The sequence below is a fragment of the Homo sapiens genome, chromosome 7 (genome assembly GCF_000001405.40).
Source record: "Homo sapiens chromosome 7, GRCh38.p14 Primary Assembly".
Taxonomy (NCBI): Eukaryota; Metazoa; Chordata; class Mammalia; order Primates; family Hominidae; genus Homo; species Homo sapiens.
This window is the reverse complement of record NC_000007.14, coordinates 101,499,553-101,516,789: the sequence shown is the minus strand read 5'-3', so window position 1 is coordinate 101,516,789 and position 17,237 is coordinate 101,499,553. Positions and strand designations below refer to the sequence as shown.

At 51.6% G+C, this 17,237-nt stretch overlaps 1 protein-coding gene across 6 annotated transcripts in view, besides 4 other annotated features; it reads right to left on the bottom strand.

Annotated features, from left to right (window-relative positions):
* Nucleotides 1-17,237, bottom strand: part of COL26A1 (collagen type XXVI alpha 1 chain) — a 196,637-nt gene that overhangs the window by 42,235 nt on the left and 137,165 nt on the right. The gene's annotated exons all lie outside the window — the stretch shown is intronic.
* Nucleotides 8,743-9,502: an enhancer, noted in NCBI's record as "H3K27ac-H3K4me1 hESC enhancer chr7:101150569-101151328 (GRCh37/hg19 assembly coordinates)". NCBI's record gives its function as "activates a minimal SCP1, AML or CMV promoter by ChIP-STARR-seq in primed H9 embryonic stem cells {active_cell/tissue: H9 hESC(primed)}" and the evidence as "EXISTENCE:reporter gene assay evidence [ECO:0000049][PMID:30033119]".
* Nucleotides 9,211-9,330: a silencer, noted in NCBI's record as "silent region_18485". NCBI's record gives its function as "represses an Ori minimal core promoter by ATAC-STARR-seq in GM12878 lymphoblastoid cells {active_cell/tissue: GM12878}" and the evidence as "EXISTENCE:reporter gene assay evidence [ECO:0000049][PMID:35858748]".
* Nucleotides 11,821-12,510: an enhancer, noted in NCBI's record as "H3K27ac-H3K4me1 hESC enhancer chr7:101147561-101148250 (GRCh37/hg19 assembly coordinates)". NCBI's record gives its function as "activates a minimal SCP1, AML or CMV promoter by ChIP-STARR-seq in primed H9 embryonic stem cells {active_cell/tissue: H9 hESC(primed)}" and the evidence as "EXISTENCE:reporter gene assay evidence [ECO:0000049][PMID:30033119]".
* Nucleotides 12,511-13,200: an enhancer, noted in NCBI's record as "H3K27ac-H3K4me1 hESC enhancer chr7:101146871-101147560 (GRCh37/hg19 assembly coordinates)". NCBI's record gives its function as "activates a minimal SCP1, AML or CMV promoter by ChIP-STARR-seq in primed H9 embryonic stem cells {active_cell/tissue: H9 hESC(primed)}" and the evidence as "EXISTENCE:reporter gene assay evidence [ECO:0000049][PMID:30033119]".

The following is a 17,237-nucleotide window of genomic DNA, read 5'->3' as shown; positions in this document are numbered from 1 at the left end:
TAGCTTAAGGCCTAGTCATCTCTCTGGGCCCTGCCCCCGACACGCTGTGTGACCCTGAGAAAGTTTTTCGGCTCTCTGAACCTCAGTTGTTTGGCCCTTAAGACACGAATGATCAAAGCCGTCTCCTGGGCCCCTGAACTGGTTAGAGAATGTGGGACTAGACTGCATGGCTGAGAAAAGACAGCTGTAATTTGTACTCTTATATTAAAAAGCAAATCTCACCAGGTGCACTAGCTTATGCCTATAATCACAGCACTTTGGGAGCTGAGGCCGGAGGATCACTTGAGCCCAGGAGTTTGAGACTAGGTGGGGCAACCTAGTGAGACCCCATCTCTAAAAAAAAAATTAAAACTAGCCATGCATGGTGGTGCGCACCTGTAGTCCCGGCTATTCGAGAGGCTGAGGTGGGAGGATTGCTTGAGCTAAGGAGGTCAAGGCTGCAGTGAGCTATGACTATTGCCACTGCACTCCAGTCTGGGCAACAGAGCAAAACTCTCTTTCTCTCTCTAAAAAAACAAAACAAAACAAAACAAAAAACAACAAAAAAGCAAATCTCCCATACAGTTGTAAAGACAAGAAGGATCTTAGAATGATCTCACTCAGCCCTTTCTTCGTACAGATTAGAAAAGATATCTGGATGTTAAGTGGCTCACGGCCACAATCACACATTTGAATGGTGGCCAACCCAGGGCTAAAACCAGGTTCACCCTCCCAGGGCAGCAACTCCTTACTTCCCCCTCAGTTATTTACACCAAAGTAAGAATTAATCCTCAGTTCCACAGGGGGCACGATGCGTTACAAAGCATCCCCCTCGCCTTCCAGATGCCTGAGAGGTAGTTCTGTCCCCACAGTGAAGGACGGGAGAGAGATGGCCAAGCCCAGAAAAGGTAAGAGAGGGTCTGGCCGGGTGCAGCAGCTCATGCCTGTAATCCCAGCACTTTGGGAGGCTGAAGTGGGCAGATCACTGGAGGCCAGAAGTTCAAGACCAGCCTGGGCAACCTAGCAAAACCTTGTCTCTACCAATAATACAAAAATTACCTGGTTGTGGTGGCACACACCTGTAATCCCAGCTACTTGGGAGGCTGAGGCATGAGAATCACTTGAGCCAGGGAGGCAAAGCTTGCAGCAAGCCGAGGGATCAACCCACTGCACTCTAGCCTGGGTGACAGAAAGAGACTCTGTCTCAAAAAAAGAAAAAAAAAAAAGAGCCAGACATGGTGGCTCATGCCTGTAATCCCAGCACTTTGGGAGACCAAGGCGGGCAGATCACTTGAAGCCAGCAGTTCCAGACCAGCCTGGCCAACATGGCAAAACCCTGTCTCTACTAAAAATACAAAAATTAGCTGAGTGTGGTGGCACACACCTGTAGTCCTAGCTATTCAGGAGGCTGAGGCAGGAGAATCACTTGAACCAGAAGTTGTAGGTTGCAGCGAGCCGATCGCGCCACTGCACTCCAGCCTGGGCAACAGAGTCTCTGTTGAGACCCTGTCTCAAAAAAAAAATAAATATTTATAGTAAGAGAGGGTCTCGAATCCAGAAACACCAATTTCTCCTTGATCAGAGAGGCACCGTTTGTGTGCAGGTTCCAAGAAGGAGACAGAAGACTCTGTTCAGGCACAGAGTGAGGCTACTAAATTGGGGCTCTTGTCTGCCTTGTTTATCGGCACCCAGACACTGGTCTGGAGCAACCAGGAAAGCTCCTGCCCCGTGGGCAGGGCTGGCGTCCACACTGGTCTTATCCCAGGCTTCTGGGAGCCCAGCTGGACTCACGAAGGTGCAGATGGGAGGATGTTCAGGCCAGAAGCAAAGCCATTGAAAGAACTTGGGACAACCAGAGGCTGGCCTCAGTGTCTGATGCCTGCTCTCTGCTCACAGCTGGGCTGGAGCATGGGAGGAGCCGGGAAGGGAGCCTAGATCTCCCCACTTCAGCCTCTCTGAGCTTTAGGGATATGGTGGTGGCGGATGGGTAGCTGGAGATGCAGATTCTCTGCGAGGAGGAGACTGTCCAAGTACAAGGGAAGGGCAGCCTTGCCCGGTTACCCCACATCCCCTTTCTCCTTCTCTCCTGCCCGCCAGTTCTGCAGGCTGGGCCCAGGCGCTGCAGCCAAAGACACATCTAGCTGTCTTGGAGGGGGGTCCTGACATCAGTGGATCAGCCCCACCCACCCCCAGAGCCTGGGGTAAGACCCAAACAGCACTGCCTCGCTAGCCATAGCTCACTGTCCCCTGCTCTCCGGCCAGCCCCAGCTGGAAGGAATAAACCTCCCTAATAGGGTTGTTGGGGACAACCCTGGGTCCCCTGACTCATCCAACACCCCTCCTCCTCCAGACCCCAGGGCCCAGAGAGGCAGCTGTCCAAAACCTCAGCAGCTCTGCCAATCTGGTGGGTGTGAAACAGAATCTCGTTGTGGTTTATTTTTTTTATTGTTTTTATTTTTATTTTTATTTTTTTGAGACAGGGTCTCACTCTGTCACCCAGGCTGGAGTGCAGTGGCGTGATCTTGGCCCACTGCAGCCTCTGCCTCCTGGGTTCAAGCAATTCTCCTGCCTCAACTTCCCGAGTAGCTGGGACTACAGGCACCCGCCACCACGCCCGGCTAATTTTTTTGTGTTTTTAGTAGGGACAGGGTTTCACCATATTGGCCAGGCTGGTCTTGAACTCCTGACCTCAAATGATCCACCCACCCCGGCCTCCCAAAGTGCTGGGATTACAGGAGTGAGCCACCGTGCCGAGCCTTGTTGTGGTTTAAATTTGCATTTTCTACATTGTTAATGAGACTGGACATCTTTTCACAGGTTTTTGAGCCATTTCTGTTTCCCCACTCTGGGAAATACCCATTCATGCCCTTGACCCGTTTTCCTATTAGGTTGTTCTGTCTTTTTCATTTTGATGCATAGGAGTTCTTTCTGCCGTATTTCCAATACCAGCCCGTCGTCAATTTCATGCTTTGCGAATATCTCCTCCCAATCTGTAGCATGTGTTTGTGCTGTGGTAACACTGCCTTTTGTCATAAAAATGTTTCCAATTTGCCTTTTATTCCTTTAACTCCACATATTGCACAGGTTAGGATCTGAAAGGCAATGCTGGGTAGAAGTTGTGACAACTACCTCCAAATCCCATTCATGACCTTAAAGGGAGGCTACTGGCCAGGCATGGTGGCTCACACCTGTAATCCCAGCACTTTGTGAGGCTGAGACAGGTGGATCACTTGAGGCCAAGAGCTTGAGACCAGCCTGGCCAACACGGCAAAACCCCATCTCTACTAAAAAAATACAAAAATACAAAAATACAAAAATTAGCTGGGCACGGTGACACATGCCTGTAGTCTCAGCTACTCAGGAGGCTGAGGCATGAGAATCACTTGAACACAGGAGGCAGAGGTTGCAGTGAGCCAAGATCACGCTGCTGCACTCAGTGGCGTGGGCGACTCTGTCTCAGAATAAATAAATAAATAAAAATAAAAATAAATAAAATAAATAGAGGCTGGGCGTGGTGGCTTATGCCTGTAATCCCAGCACTTTGGGGGGCCAAGGAGGGTGGATCACTTGAGGTCAGGAGTTCGAGACCAGCCTGGCCAACATGGTGAAACCCTGTCTCTACAAAAATACAAAAAAATTAGCCGGGTGTGGTGGCGCATGCCTGTAATCCCAGCTACTCTAGAGGCTGAGACAGGAGAATTGCTTGAACCCAGGAGGCGGAGGTTGCAGTGAGCCAAAATCATGCCATTGCACTCTAGTCTGGGCGACAGAGCGAGACTTCATCTCAAAATAATAATAATAATAATAATAATAAAATTGTAAAAAGGGAGGCTTTTAATGTCTCACACTAGTGCAATGCTTTCTGGGGAGTGCAGCAGCCAGGATCTATGTGCCAAGAAGCTTCTTTCTTTTCCTAGTTTAGCAAGAGTTTTCATCATGCATAGGTGTTGAAGTTCATCAAACTCTATTATCTTCTAATCTGTGAATGAGGTGGATTACATAAACAGATTTTCTGAAGAACTACATGGTAAGGACCTATTACTTTTTTGGTGCACTGCTGGATTTGAATAGCTATCTTATTTGGGGGTTTGTGCCTAAATCATTTATAGCTCCAACTGAATATTTGGTGGTCACAGAGGTAGGGCCAATTTGTGGGAAGTAGAGGCCAAGGTTTTGTTTCTGTTTTTTTGAGACAGGGTCTTGCTCTATTGCCCAGGCTGGAGTGCAGTGGCACGATCATAGCTCACTGCAGCCTCAACCTCCTGGACTCAGGCGACCCTCCTGCCTCAGCCTCCCTAGTAGCTTGGACTACAGGCAGGCACATGCCGCACACTGGCTAATTTTTTATTTTTTTGTAGAGACAGGGCTCTCAGTATGTTGCCCAAGCTCATCTCGAACCCCTGGTCTCAAGTGATCCTCCCACCTTGGCCTCCCAAAGTGCTGGGATTACAGGCGTGAGCCACCACACCTGGCTAGGTTTTGATTTTTTCCAGCCAAATTTTCCCCATCCAGAGTACACAGAAGATGGACAAGTTTTCTTGTTGCCTCCATGAGCCAGTGGGCTTTCCTGAGTTGCCTCTTGCACTAAGTCATAGCCCTAACTCAGCAACAGAGGAGCCCAACCTCCTCCCCTGTGCTGACTCAGGGGTAAACCAAGACCAATATTCTCACTCCACCCCGACCTCCACGGTGACCACAGCACCAGCAGCGAAACCCTCTGCTTCCTTAGCTTCTGGTAACTGGGGCACCTAGAGCACATTCCTGCCTTATGAATTCGGTTGTGTCTTTCATTTTATTTATTATTATTACTTTTAGAGACAGGGTCTCACTCTGTTGCCCAGGCTGGAGTGCAGTGGTGTGATCATAGCTCACTGCAGCTTCAAACTCCTAAGTAGGCTCAAGCAATTCTCCCGCCTCAGCCTCCTGAGTAGCTGGGACTACAGGTGTGCACCACCATGCCCAGCTAATTTTGGGGGGTTTTGTAGAGATGGAGTCTTACTATGTTGCCCAGGCTGGTCTCAAACTCCCGTGCTTATGCAATCCTCCCACCTACAGTCCTGGCAGAATTGGACTTCAGCAGAACCGGGGTCCTCCCTTTTGTTGGCCTGTGGGGAAACACTTCTGATGGGCCCCTTTTTGTAAGGTTGCAAGTAGTCACATGAATACTATCAGCCACACTGGCCAGATCAGGGGACAATCCTATGTCCTGGGACTTGAAACGTTCTTGTCCACGTGTGGCGCTTGGTGACTACCATGGCCAGGGACCAGCAGGTCCTGTCTGCCTTCAGCCTAGAGCAGGGCTCTGAGCCGCCTTTTCTTAGGATAGCTTAACGGAACCCACAAGGGCTCAGCCCCTGGACCAGCCAGGCCACTTTTGCCCTTGAGAATCAGGATTTGTTCTGGGAGTTCAGTTAGTAGCATTCACATTGAGCATCCAGGAGACCCAGCCCTGAAACCGAGTCCAGCGGGTTATGCTTTCCCAAGTCAAAGCCTTCTAAAGGGTTTGGTGTGGCCAGGCCAAGGGAGGCAGGGAGAGGGCCTCTGCCCGTGCGCCACCACCTGATGTCGACTTGAACTCAGATGGGAATACTTTTGAAAAAAGTGAGATGGGCCGGGTGCGGTGGCTCACGCCTGTAATCCCAGCACTTTGGGAGGCCGAGGCGGGTGGATCATGAGGCTAGGAGATCGAGACCATCCTGGCTAACATGGTGAAACCCCTGTCTCTACTAAAAATACAAAAAACTTAGCCAGGCATGGTGGTGGGCGCCTGTAGTCCCAGCTACTCGGGAGGCTGAGGCAGGAGAATCGCGTGAACCTGGGAGGTGGAGCTTGCAGTGAGCCGACATCGTGCCACTGCACTCCAGCCTGGGCGACAGAGCGAGACTCCGTCTCAAAAAAAAAAAAAAAAAAAAGAAAGAAAGAAAAAGAAAAAAGTGAGATGCACAAGTGCTCTGAATCACCTTGTGTGGCTCGCTCAGAGAAGCCCCCATTAGCCAGACACAGTGGCTCACGCCTGTAATCCCAATGTTCTGGGAGGCCAAAGCAGGAGGCTCTCTTGAAGCCAAGAGTTTGAGGCCAGCCTGGACAACATCGTGAGACCCCCTCCCAGCCTCATTCTCTACAAAAAATTAAAAAATTAGCTGGGCATGGTGGTGCTCACCTGTAGTCCCAGCTACATGGGAAGCTGAGGTAGGAGGATCACTGGAGCCCAGGAATTTGAGGCTGCAGTGAGCCTGACTCAGCCCCAAGCCCCAGGCTCGCCCTGTCTCTGCAGCTGTGTCAGAAGGCAGGAATAGCAGGTGCAAAGGCCCTGAGGCAGGGAAAAGGCTGGCAGGTAGTGAGCAAAGGTGTGTGTGACATGGGATGAGGTGCAGCCTTACCTGCAGGGCCCAGGAGGGGACTTTTATCACAGTGAACGGAATTACTGAGTTTCAGGGAGGGCGATTTCATGATCTCATTTACATCTTTAAAAGGCTCCTCTGAGAGGCCGGGTGCAGTGGCTCACGCCTGTAATCCCAGCATTTTGGAAAGCCAAGATGGGAGGATTGCTTGAGCCCAGGAGTTTGAGACCACCCTGGCAACATAGTGAGATCCCTACATCTCTACAAAAAAATTTCAAAAATTATCTGGGCTTGGTGATGATTGCCTGTAGTCCCAGCTACTCAGGAGGCTGAAGTGGGAGGATCACTTGAGTCCAGGAATTGGAGGCTGCAGTAAGCCATGATTGCACCACTGCACTCCAGCCTGGGTGACAGAGTGAGACCCTCTTAAAAAAAAAAAAAAGACTGGGCGCGATGGCTTATGCCTATAATCCCAGTACTTTGGGAGGCTGAGATTGGCAGATCACCTGAGGTCAGGAGTTCGAGACCAGCCTGGCCAACATGGTGAAACCCCGTTTCTACTAAAAATACAAAAATTAGCCGTGCGTGGTGGTGCACACCTGTAGTCCCAGCTACTCAGGAGACTGAGGCAGAAGAAGCACTTGAACCTGGGAGGCAGGAGTTGCAGTGATCCAAGCTCGCACCACTGCACTCCAGCCTAGGTGACAGAGTGAGGCCCCGTCAAAAAAAAAATAAAAGAGCCCCCAGTGCTGAAAGAGGCCAGGAAGCCAAACCCTGAGCTGCTGGGGGCCTCAACTCACCCGTGTTGGCCGGGCCTAGACCATTCTGGGGGTGGGAATGAACCCTGCCCTGTACCTCTGCAGCCCCACTCTTCATCTGGCAGCAAGAACCAGTGATCCCTGGCCAGACTGGCATCCCATTAGTGAGTTTACCAGCCTTAGTGAGATGCCATTGCTCTAGGTGCAAGGAGGAGGGAGGGAATCAGAGGCTGTTTTCTGTTCTTCTTTTCTTTTTTCTTTTTTTTGAGACAGGGTCTCAGTCTGTAGCCTGAGCTGGAGTACAGTGGCACGATCTCAGCTTACTGCAACCCCCGCCTCCCAGGTTCAAGCTATTCTCCTGCCTCAGCCTCCTGAGCAGCTGGGATTACAGGCGCCTGCTACCACGTCTGGTTAACTTTTGTATTTTTAGTAGAGAAGTGGGTTTCATCATGTTGGCCGGGCTGGTCTCAAACTCCTGACCTCAAATCATCCGCCCACCTCGGCCTCCCAAAGTGCTGGGATTACAGACACGAACCACCATGCCCAGCCTCCTGGTTGTCTTAAAGAGCTGGCACCTCTTCCTCCCCCATCTCTGGCTCCCTCTTTTGCTATGCGACGCATCAGCTCCCCCTTCACCTTCTGCCACTAGTAAACGCTTCCTGAGGCCTCACCAGAAGCTGAGCAAATGCTGGTGCCAGGCTTGCAGAACTGTGAGCCAAGTAAACCTCACTCAGACTAGAGTGCAGTGGTACGATCATAGCTCACTGCAGCTTCGACCTCCTGGGCTCAAAGGATCCTCCCGCCTCAGCCTCCTGGCTGAGTAGCTGGAACAAACCTCTTTTCTGTATACATTACCCAGCCTCAAGTATTCCTTTATAGCAACACAAAACGAACTAATACAGGTGGGAAGGTAAAGACCTGAATTTGAAAAGTGACCACTTCCACATGTGAAATGACACCCAGCAAAGATTAGGGGTCTCTCCTCCTTCATCTGAGCTGAAAGACCTTACGGTCAGGTTTCGTGAGTGATGGGAGAATCCTCTGAGGGTTCCTGTAAATAAGATTCTCTGTGCCCGGGCATGCTTTAGGAGAGAGGGGCCAATGTTTCATCTGTTTATCAAGGAGGGGTGGGAAGGGAGGGTTGTTGGTTCATGCCACCCTAAATGTTAAGACCATCATCTTTTTTTTTTTTTTGACAGGGTTTTATCTCTGTTGTTCAGTCTGGAGTACAGTGGTGTGATCATGACTCACTGCAGCCTCAAACTCCTGGGCTCAAGCGATCCTCCCACCTCAGCCTCCTGAGGAGCTGGGACTACAGGTGTGCACCACGCCTGGATGATTTTTCTATTTTTTGTAGAGATGGGGTCTCGCTGTGTTGCCCAAGCTGGTCTTGAACTCCTGGCCTCAAGCAATCCTCCCTCCTAGGCTTCCAAAACTGTTCGGATTATAGGCATGGGCCACCGCGCCTGGCCAGGTTAAGGAATTTTGTAACAGTTACATGACGGAGCTGGGATTCTGTCTCCAAAGTCCACATTCTCCACCTCCATGCTCCAGTGTGTTTGGAGAGCCTCAAACAGCTTGTGATCAGTGGAAGAGAAGATGTGAGCAGGCACAAGGAGTGGAAGACATGAGGCTGGAGGGCCATCAGGCTCTTGAAAGCCAGGAGGCTGTGGGATTCAGGATGCTGTGTTTGCACAACCCTAGAGGGCGCCATCATATCATGGTCCTCATAATTTTATATATATTACGGCAGTTTTCCAGCAGATGGCAGTCACGTGCCTTGAGGAAGGGGCGCTTTTTCCTTAATCTGCACAAAGAAACCACAGGGACCAGCGGCGGTGCTATTTGGCTGATATCCAGGTGGGGTGGAAAGTCCAGAAGGGTCTCAAACAGGGAAGGGGAATGTTTAGATTTCTGCTTGCTCTTGGTGGGGAGAGACCGGAGGTTGCTGAGACAGTTCTGATAGGTGGGTGAGATCTAAGGTAAGAAAATGGGCCACTTTGTGGTGGCTCACGCCAGTAATCCCAACCTTTGGGAAGTGGAGGAGGGAGGATCACTTAATCCCGGGAGTTGGAGACCAGCCTGAGCAACACGGAGAAACCCCATCTCTATTACAAACACTAAAAATTAGGCATGGTGGCGTGTGCCTGTGGTCCCAGCTACTCAGGATGGGGAAGTGGGAGGATCACCTGAGGCGGGGAGGTGGAGGTTGCAGTGAACTGTGATCACACCACTGCACTCCAGCCAGGGCAACAGGGTAAGATTCTGTCTCCTGCTCCCCCCACCCAACAAAAAACAAAGCCAGGAGGGGCAGAAAAGAGGAGATGGATTAGAGAGGGCTGTAGAGACAGAAGAATCCACGGGATGTTGGGGATCCCTTGCAACAGGGTCACAAGGAGAGAGTTGAGGCTTTGAGGTTTCTGATTTCAACGGCAGATTGGCTAGACGGAGTAGTGTTTTTCACTGAGCAAGGAGAATTAGAAGTGGTTCTAGGCAAAGCCGGGCGCGGTGGCTCACATCTGTAATCCCAGTACTTTGGGAGGCCGAGGCAGGCGGATCACTTGAGGCCAGGCGTTTGAGACCAGCCTGGCCAACGTGGTGAAACTCTGTCTCTGCTAAAAATACGAAAATTAGCCAGGCGTGGTGGTACACACCTGTAGTCCCAGCTACTCGGGAGGCTGAGGCCAGAGAATCGCTTGAACCCGGGAGGCGGAGGTTGCGGTGAGCCGAGATCACATCACCACACTCCAGCCTGGGCAATAGAGTGAGGGGGAAAAAAAAAAGGAGTGGTTCTAGGGAGTGGGGAGGAGTTGCTTTTGGATGTGTGCAGGGAGGAGAAGGCTGCAGACAGCACACCTAAGAGGGAAGTTGGAGAGGGATTGGACAGAAAGGTATGAATCTCAGCTTGTGACCAATCCATGCAAAATAACAGCACTCTGGCTGGAAATCCCCGGATGGTCCAAACCATCTTGCAGAGCTGTTATGAGAAATGCACTCTCCTTAGGGACCGTGGTGCCCACTGACTAATCAGAAGGAGCAAATACAGTCAGGGAATCTCTTCTGCAGTTAGGAACACGGAGGCTAGGTAAAAGGAGAAAAGGGATCCAGTGTCCCAGAGCTCAGGGCTGGTACCCGGGATCTCCAGTTTCTAGACCAGCCCTGCAGCTCACCCCTGGTCTCGGGGCCCCTCTCAGCTCCCTGGAGCCAGAGCCACTGTCCCAGGGGGTGGGCTGGGTAGGTCTAATCTGGACCCGTTTGGTTTCTGCTAAGAGGCCCCCACCAGCTCTTTCATTGGCAGCCAAAACATGCTCCTTTCCAAGGCAAAAACAAAATAAAATAAAGCATGTTACAAAGTGACTCTCTCTTCTCCGATTCATTTTAATGTGCTTTTCAGCGTTGGTTTATTGTGAGCAGCTCTGTGTGCAGAAAACATGTGCTTGCAATATGCCAGTGACAGTAGGGATTCCAGGGGGCCTCCTGGCCGCCCCAAACAACCGGGACAGTCAGGAAGTTAAAGGCATGTCTTTGATGATCAGGTAATTGGTGACTCTCAAATATTTGTCCCAAAGGCTCTGAATGGGTGTGATTTCACCCAGAGTCCATTCCCTCCACTGACCCCATTCGGGCAGAGGGAAAGGACAGAAGGAGAATTCAAGGGCTGTGGTGTGAGGATGGGTTCTAGCTTAGAGTGTGGCTTCTCCTGTCCTAGGGTCCTCGAAGGTGTAACGAGCTGGGAGGGACCAGGAGACTCAGGGTCTAGTCTGTAATACCACTGTGTCATCTTAGGCAAGTGTCTGTCCATCTCTGGGCTGTTGGGCCTCAGTTTCCCCGTCTTATAAGAGAAGGCAGCTGTGATGGTTAATACTGAGTGTCAACTTGATTGGATTGAAGGATGCAAAGTATTGATCCTGGGTGTGTCTGTGAGGGTGTTGCCAAAGGAGATTAACATTTGAGTCAGTGGACTGGGAAAGGCAGACCCCACCCCCCTCAATCTGGGTGGGCACCATCTAATCAGCTGCCGGTGTGGCCAAAACACAAAGCACGCAGAAGAATGTGAAAAGACTAGACTGGCCTAGGCTTCCAGCCTATATCCTTCTCCCATGCTGGATGCTTCCTGCCCTCGAACATCGGACTACCAGTTCTTCAGCTTTGGAACTCGGACTGGCTTCCTTGCTCCTCAGCTTGCAGACGGCCTATTGTGGGACCTCGTGATCCTGTGAGTTAATACTCCTTAACAAACTCCTCTTTCCATCCAAAAAAAAAAGTATACACACATACTCATGTACACACAAAAACAAAGTAAATTCACAGTCATGCACACACATGGAGTGGTCATACTCATGCACACACCTAGGCACACACATGCACCCATGCACACACAGAGTGCCCACACACCCATCACACTCATGCATACACACAACACACTCATACACATTCATGCACACTCACAGTCATGCACACACACAACACACATACACACTTCTGCACAATCACAGAGAGTGCTCACATACACGGGCACACCCACCCAACATGGATCTACACACGTGCACACCCAGACCCACGTGCATTCATCCACACACATAACTTTTTTTTTTCACCCAGGCTGAGTGCAATAGCGCCATCTCTGCTCACTGGTTCAAGCCATCCTCCTCCCTCAGCCTCTGGAATAGCTGGGATTACAGGCGTTCGCCACCATACCCGGCTAATTTTTTGTATTTTTAGTAGAGATGGGGTCTCACCATATTGGTCAGGCTGGTCTGGAACTCCTGACCTCAAGGGATCTGCCCGCCTCAGCCTCCCAAAGTTGGGATTACAGGCGTGAGCCACCGTGCCCAGCCCACACACATAAATGGACACAGACACACACAGGCATACACACACACATACACACACACACACACACAGTCTGGGCAACAACCAAGAGTCCAGGCTCTGGCCTTTCATGGCCGGTGACGGTGGAAAATTCACTGAATCGCTCTGAACTCAGCAGCATCGTGTGGACGACAAGGAAGTAAAAAATTCACATAAATCCTCATAACAATGCCAGCCTCTGGGTGCCCTGGAGAAGGACCAATGAGATGGCGGAGGCAGAGGTGAGATGTTTTCTAAATCACAGGACCCGGGACACATGTCAGTTGTCAACAGCAACTTTGGGGTCACAGCTCAGACAGAAGCCCTGGTGCCTCTGGAGTGGAGAGGAGCGAGGCGGAAGTCCCCGAATCAGGCGAGCATAGACAGGGGAGGAGGTTGGCCCTGGTCCCTAATCCCAACATGAGAGGGGTCAGCATGGGGCAAAGAGGTGGTGCCAGTGGGCCGGGCACCGTGGCTCATGCCTGTAATCCCAGCAGTTTGGGAGGCCGAGGCGAGCAGATCATTTGAGGTCAGGAGTTTGAGAGCAGCCTGGCCAAAATGGTGAAACCCCGTCTCTACTAAAAATACAAAAATTAGTGGGGTGTGGTGGCACGCGCCTGTAATTCCAGCTGCTCAGGAGGCTGAGACAGGAGAGTCGCTTGAACCCAGGAGACAGAGGTTGCAGTGAGCCGAGATTGCACCACTGCACTCCAGCCTGGGTGATGGAGTAAGACTGTGTCCCCAAAGAAAAAAAAAGAGGTGTTGGGGCTCAGCTGGGGTAGTGAGCTCAGGGACACTGGGGAGCTGGGGGACACCTGCAGATGGAGGGCCCTGCTGGGCTCAGGGTCGCCTGCCCACATCCTGAGCTCGCAGCAGAGAGAAAGGGTCAGCTCAGGCGTGACACATGGTCCCCTTCCTGGAAGTTACTGTAAATACTGAACTACTGTGAAACAGGAAGTGGCAGGCCTAGGTTCTAACAAGGGACTCTCCAAGGAGGAGAATGGCCATTGCTCCCTACTCATGTCCCTTGGAGGTGTCACCTCCCTGCTCACAAACCTGACCAGTGCCTGTGACTTCAGGACTGAAACAAAAGTTCCAGCACCTTCCCTTGAGGCAATCTTGTGTGGTTCAGACCCCCTGTCCGCAAGTGCTGGGGCTTTGTGAGCCATGCAGACCCTTAGCTGGGCACAGTGGCTCACGCCTGTAATCCCAGCACTTTGGGAGGCTGAGGCGGGATGATCACCAGAGGCCGGGAGGTCAAGACTAGCCTGGACAACATAGCAAGACCCTGCTTCTAAAAAAATACGAACATTAGCCAGGTGTGGTGATGTACACCTGTAGTCTCAGCTACCTGGGAGGCTGAGGCTGGAGGATCCCTTGAGCCCAGGAATTTGAGGCTGCAATTGAGTGATGATCGCACCACTGAACTCCAGCCTGGGTGACAAGGCAGGGCAGGGTAGGGCGACACTCAGGCCCTGTCCCAGACCTATCAATCCTAATCTGCATTTAAATAGGACCCCCCAGGGTGACTCCTGCACGTGGGACAGTTTGAGAAGTGCTGTTTATATTTCATTTTCCAACCATCATTTCTGAGACATACAAACCAGGAGGTGGTGACCGTCCTGTTGTCACCAGCACCATGCATTGTTAGAGAACAGAGGCGAGAGGGGACCCCACAGACCTTGCCCCAACACCCAGTTCTGGGGCCTGGGAGGAAGGTGCATCACTGATGAGAGAAGAAATCACAACAAAGGCATGTAACAGGAGTAACTGCGTATATGAGGCCCAGGCTCTATTCTTCACAATGGTAGATGAGCTGGAGAAGGTTCTGGGGGCAGCAGGCAGGCTGGGCCCTGGGGAGCCACAGAGGGACTGGGCAGCTCACCCTGAGAAGGAGGAGGCAGCAGATGGGCCCCACCTTGGGACCCAAAGTCACTGGGCGGACACCATGTAGAGCAGCTCCCGCCCCTTAGAGAATGAGCTTTCAGCACAGAGCCAGGCAGCCCCGGGAAGGAGGGAGTGCCCGTTCCTGTAAGTGCCCAAGAAGAGATTGGACAGCCGCTTGGGGAGCATGGCAACAAGAGGGGGGCATGCGTCCCTAGACCCTGTGAGCTGAGACTCCCATGGGCTGAGCCACCCACCCACACTGGGTCAGATGAGGGGGCTCCCAATCCAGCCACCCTCCCAGGCTGCAGTGGAACAGCCCCTTTCCTGGGTCCCCCCTGACAGTGGGGCTCCAGCCCAGCTCCAGCCCAACTCCGGCCCCGGTCCTGTGTTCTCCACAGCACCTGCCAGTCCCTGAGGGGCCTTAGCCTCCAGCTTGGCAGGAGTTTCTGAGTCTGGGACCTGTTAGTATAGAAAGCCCAATCCCTTCTTGGAACCTCAGTTTCCCCATTAGAACAAGAGGGGATTGGGCCAAATGACCTCAAAGGCTTTGGAAGGGGCAATATATTCCGTGTGTATTTTTCTTGAGCATAGCTGGTTTTTGTTGTTGTTGTTGTTTGTTGTTGTTGTTGTTTGAGACTGAGTCTTGCTCTGTCGCCCAGGCTGGAGTGCAGTGGTGCGATCTCGGCTCACTGCAACTTTCGCCTCCCAGATTCAAGTGATTCCCCCGCCTCAGCCTCCTGAGTAGCTGGGATTACAGGCATGTGGCACCATGCTCAGATAATTTTTGTAATTTTAGTAGAGACAAGGTTTCGTCCTGTTGGCCAGGCTGGTCTTCAACTCAGGTGATCTGCCTGCCCCAGCCTCCCAAAGTGCTGGGATTATAGGCGTCAGCCACCGCACCCGGCCTTCAAGCATAGTTTTGAACTAGATTTTTCTAGGGAGCCTGGCTTCCATCTCTGGAAAGACCAGGGAACGCTTCCTGGAGGAGGTGTCTGGTGAATCCGGAAGAAAGGGCGGAAGATTTTGGAGCTGCACACGCAGCCCATGTACATGTACTCACTATGCACACACACAGCCCATGTATACACAGGGCCCATGCATGCACACACACGCACACAAACTCAGCTGTTTGTATACACAACCTGTGTTTGCACACATAGTCCACGCTTGTACACAGCTCATGTACACACACAGCCCATGGCGCACACTCACACACACATACTTTCTATGAGCATGCACCTCCAAGAGTCTGAGCACCCCTTTGGACAAAGCCCTGTGCTGGGCACCATGGGGATGAACCCAGTGGCCATCTTGCTCAAATGGAGTGTGACACAGCGCAAAGGATACAGGCCTGGGGCAGAAACAACAGGCAGAGAGTGACAAGGGCTGAAAAGAGGGGCAGCTCCTGGAGGAACCTGGCTTCCATCTGGACAGACCAGGGAAGGCTTCCTGGAGGCGGTGTCTGGTGAATATGGAAGAAGCAGGGGAAGATATTGGAGCTGAAGAAACTGGCTATCTTCAAGGAGTCTCACCTCTGAGCTCCTCCTGGCCTTGCCCCACCACTGCTGTGGGGGCATTTAGGTACCCCAGGCCCAACACAGTGGCCATGGGAGCTGGAAGAGGCCTGGGGCCGACATGGGGATGTGTGCGTGTCTCCTAGCTAATGACTCTCGTGGCCCCCAACCCACTTACTCCCTGATTCCACAGGATTATTCCAACTGGCAGGTTCCTAAGCATTTCTTTTTTTTTTTTTTTTCTTTTCTTTTCTTTTCTTTTTTTTTTTTTTTTGAGACGGAGTCTCGCCCTGTAGCCCAGGCTGAAGTGCAATGGCTCGATCTTGGCTCACTGCAACCTCCGCCTTCCCAGTACAAGCGATTCTCCTGCCTCAGCCTCCCTAGTAGCTGGGATTACAGGCGCCTACCACCATGCCCGGCTAAACTTTTTTTGTATTTTTAGTAGAGACAGGGTTTCACCGTGTTGGCCAGGCTGGTCTTGAACTCCTGACCTCGTGATCCGCCCGCCTTGGCCTCTCAAAGTGCTGGGATTACAGGCGTGAGCCACCGCCCGGTGGTTCCTAAGCATTTCTAACAACCTCATTTAGACAATCACGGCACTTTTCTTTTTTTATCTATTTATTTATTTTTTTATTTATTGAGACAGCGTCTCGCTCTGTTGCCGAGGCTGGGGTGCAATGGCGCGATCTCGGCTCACTGCAGCTTCAGCCTCTGGAGTTCAAGTGATTCTCCCGCCTCAGCCTCCCAAGTAGCTGGGACTACAGGTGCCCACCACCACGCCCAGCTAATTTTTGTGGGGTTTTTTTTAGGTATGGGGTTTCACCATGCTAGCCAGGCTGGTCTCGAACTCCTGACCTCAGGTGATCTGCCCGCCTCGGCCTGCCAGTGTGCTGGGTTTACAGACATGAGGCACCGCGCCCGGTCCGGTATTTTAGATCAGATGCAGGCCATGCAGACAGCAAGCTGGCCAGGGCATCACCTCCTGTCCAGTGTAATGAACAGACATCAGCAGAGGAGAAGTTGGGAGGTGGTCTCCAAACTCCTGGATGTTGAAAAAACCATAAGCAACGGCCAGAAGGAAGTGCACTTGCCAAGTGTTTGGGATCGAGATGGGGGTAGGGGTGTCCCTCCAAAGAGAAAGGCAGCTATGAGCCTTGTAGCCCAGAGAGGAGGAGAGACCACAGCAAGTACAGATGTCCTGCTCAACTTGCCCCCCCTCCCGGCAATCCCCGCTTCAACCCTGGAAAGGCTAGGAAGGGTGGCGAGAGAGGCGGGGACGTTGCAATAGCAGAGAAGGCACGCATGCCCCAGCCTACTCCAAACAGCCACAATAGCAGGCCCCAAATGCAGAAGGGGCAGGTTCAATCCTGAACCAAGTTTGGAGTTTTGCTTATTCCATAGAACAAGACAGCTAATTGATGCATCATAGCTTATGACTTCAACTGACTGTCAAATGGTTATGGGAATGTCCAGTTTCCACTCAAGGGTAAGGGTAGAACACTGCCCCTACCCACTGTGCCTGAATACATTTTAAAGGGAGCACAGGAAACCATAACAAAGGTGTTTTTTTTTTTTTTTTTAAGGCAGGGACTCCCTCTATCACCCAGGTTGGAGTGCAGTGATGTGAACAACATGGCTCACTGCAGCCTCCACCTTCTGAGCTCAAGTGATCCTCCTGCCTCAGCCTCCAGATTAGCTAGGACCACAGGTATGTGCAACCATGCCTGGCTAATTTTTTTATTTTTATTTTTTAATATTATTTTTATTATTATTTTTGAGACAGAGTTTCCCTCTGTCACTCAGGCTGGAGTGTAGTGGTGCAATCTCAGCTCACTGTAACCTCCACCTCCCAGGTTCAAGTGATTCTCCTGCCTCAGCCTCCAGAATAGCTGGTATTACAGGCATGC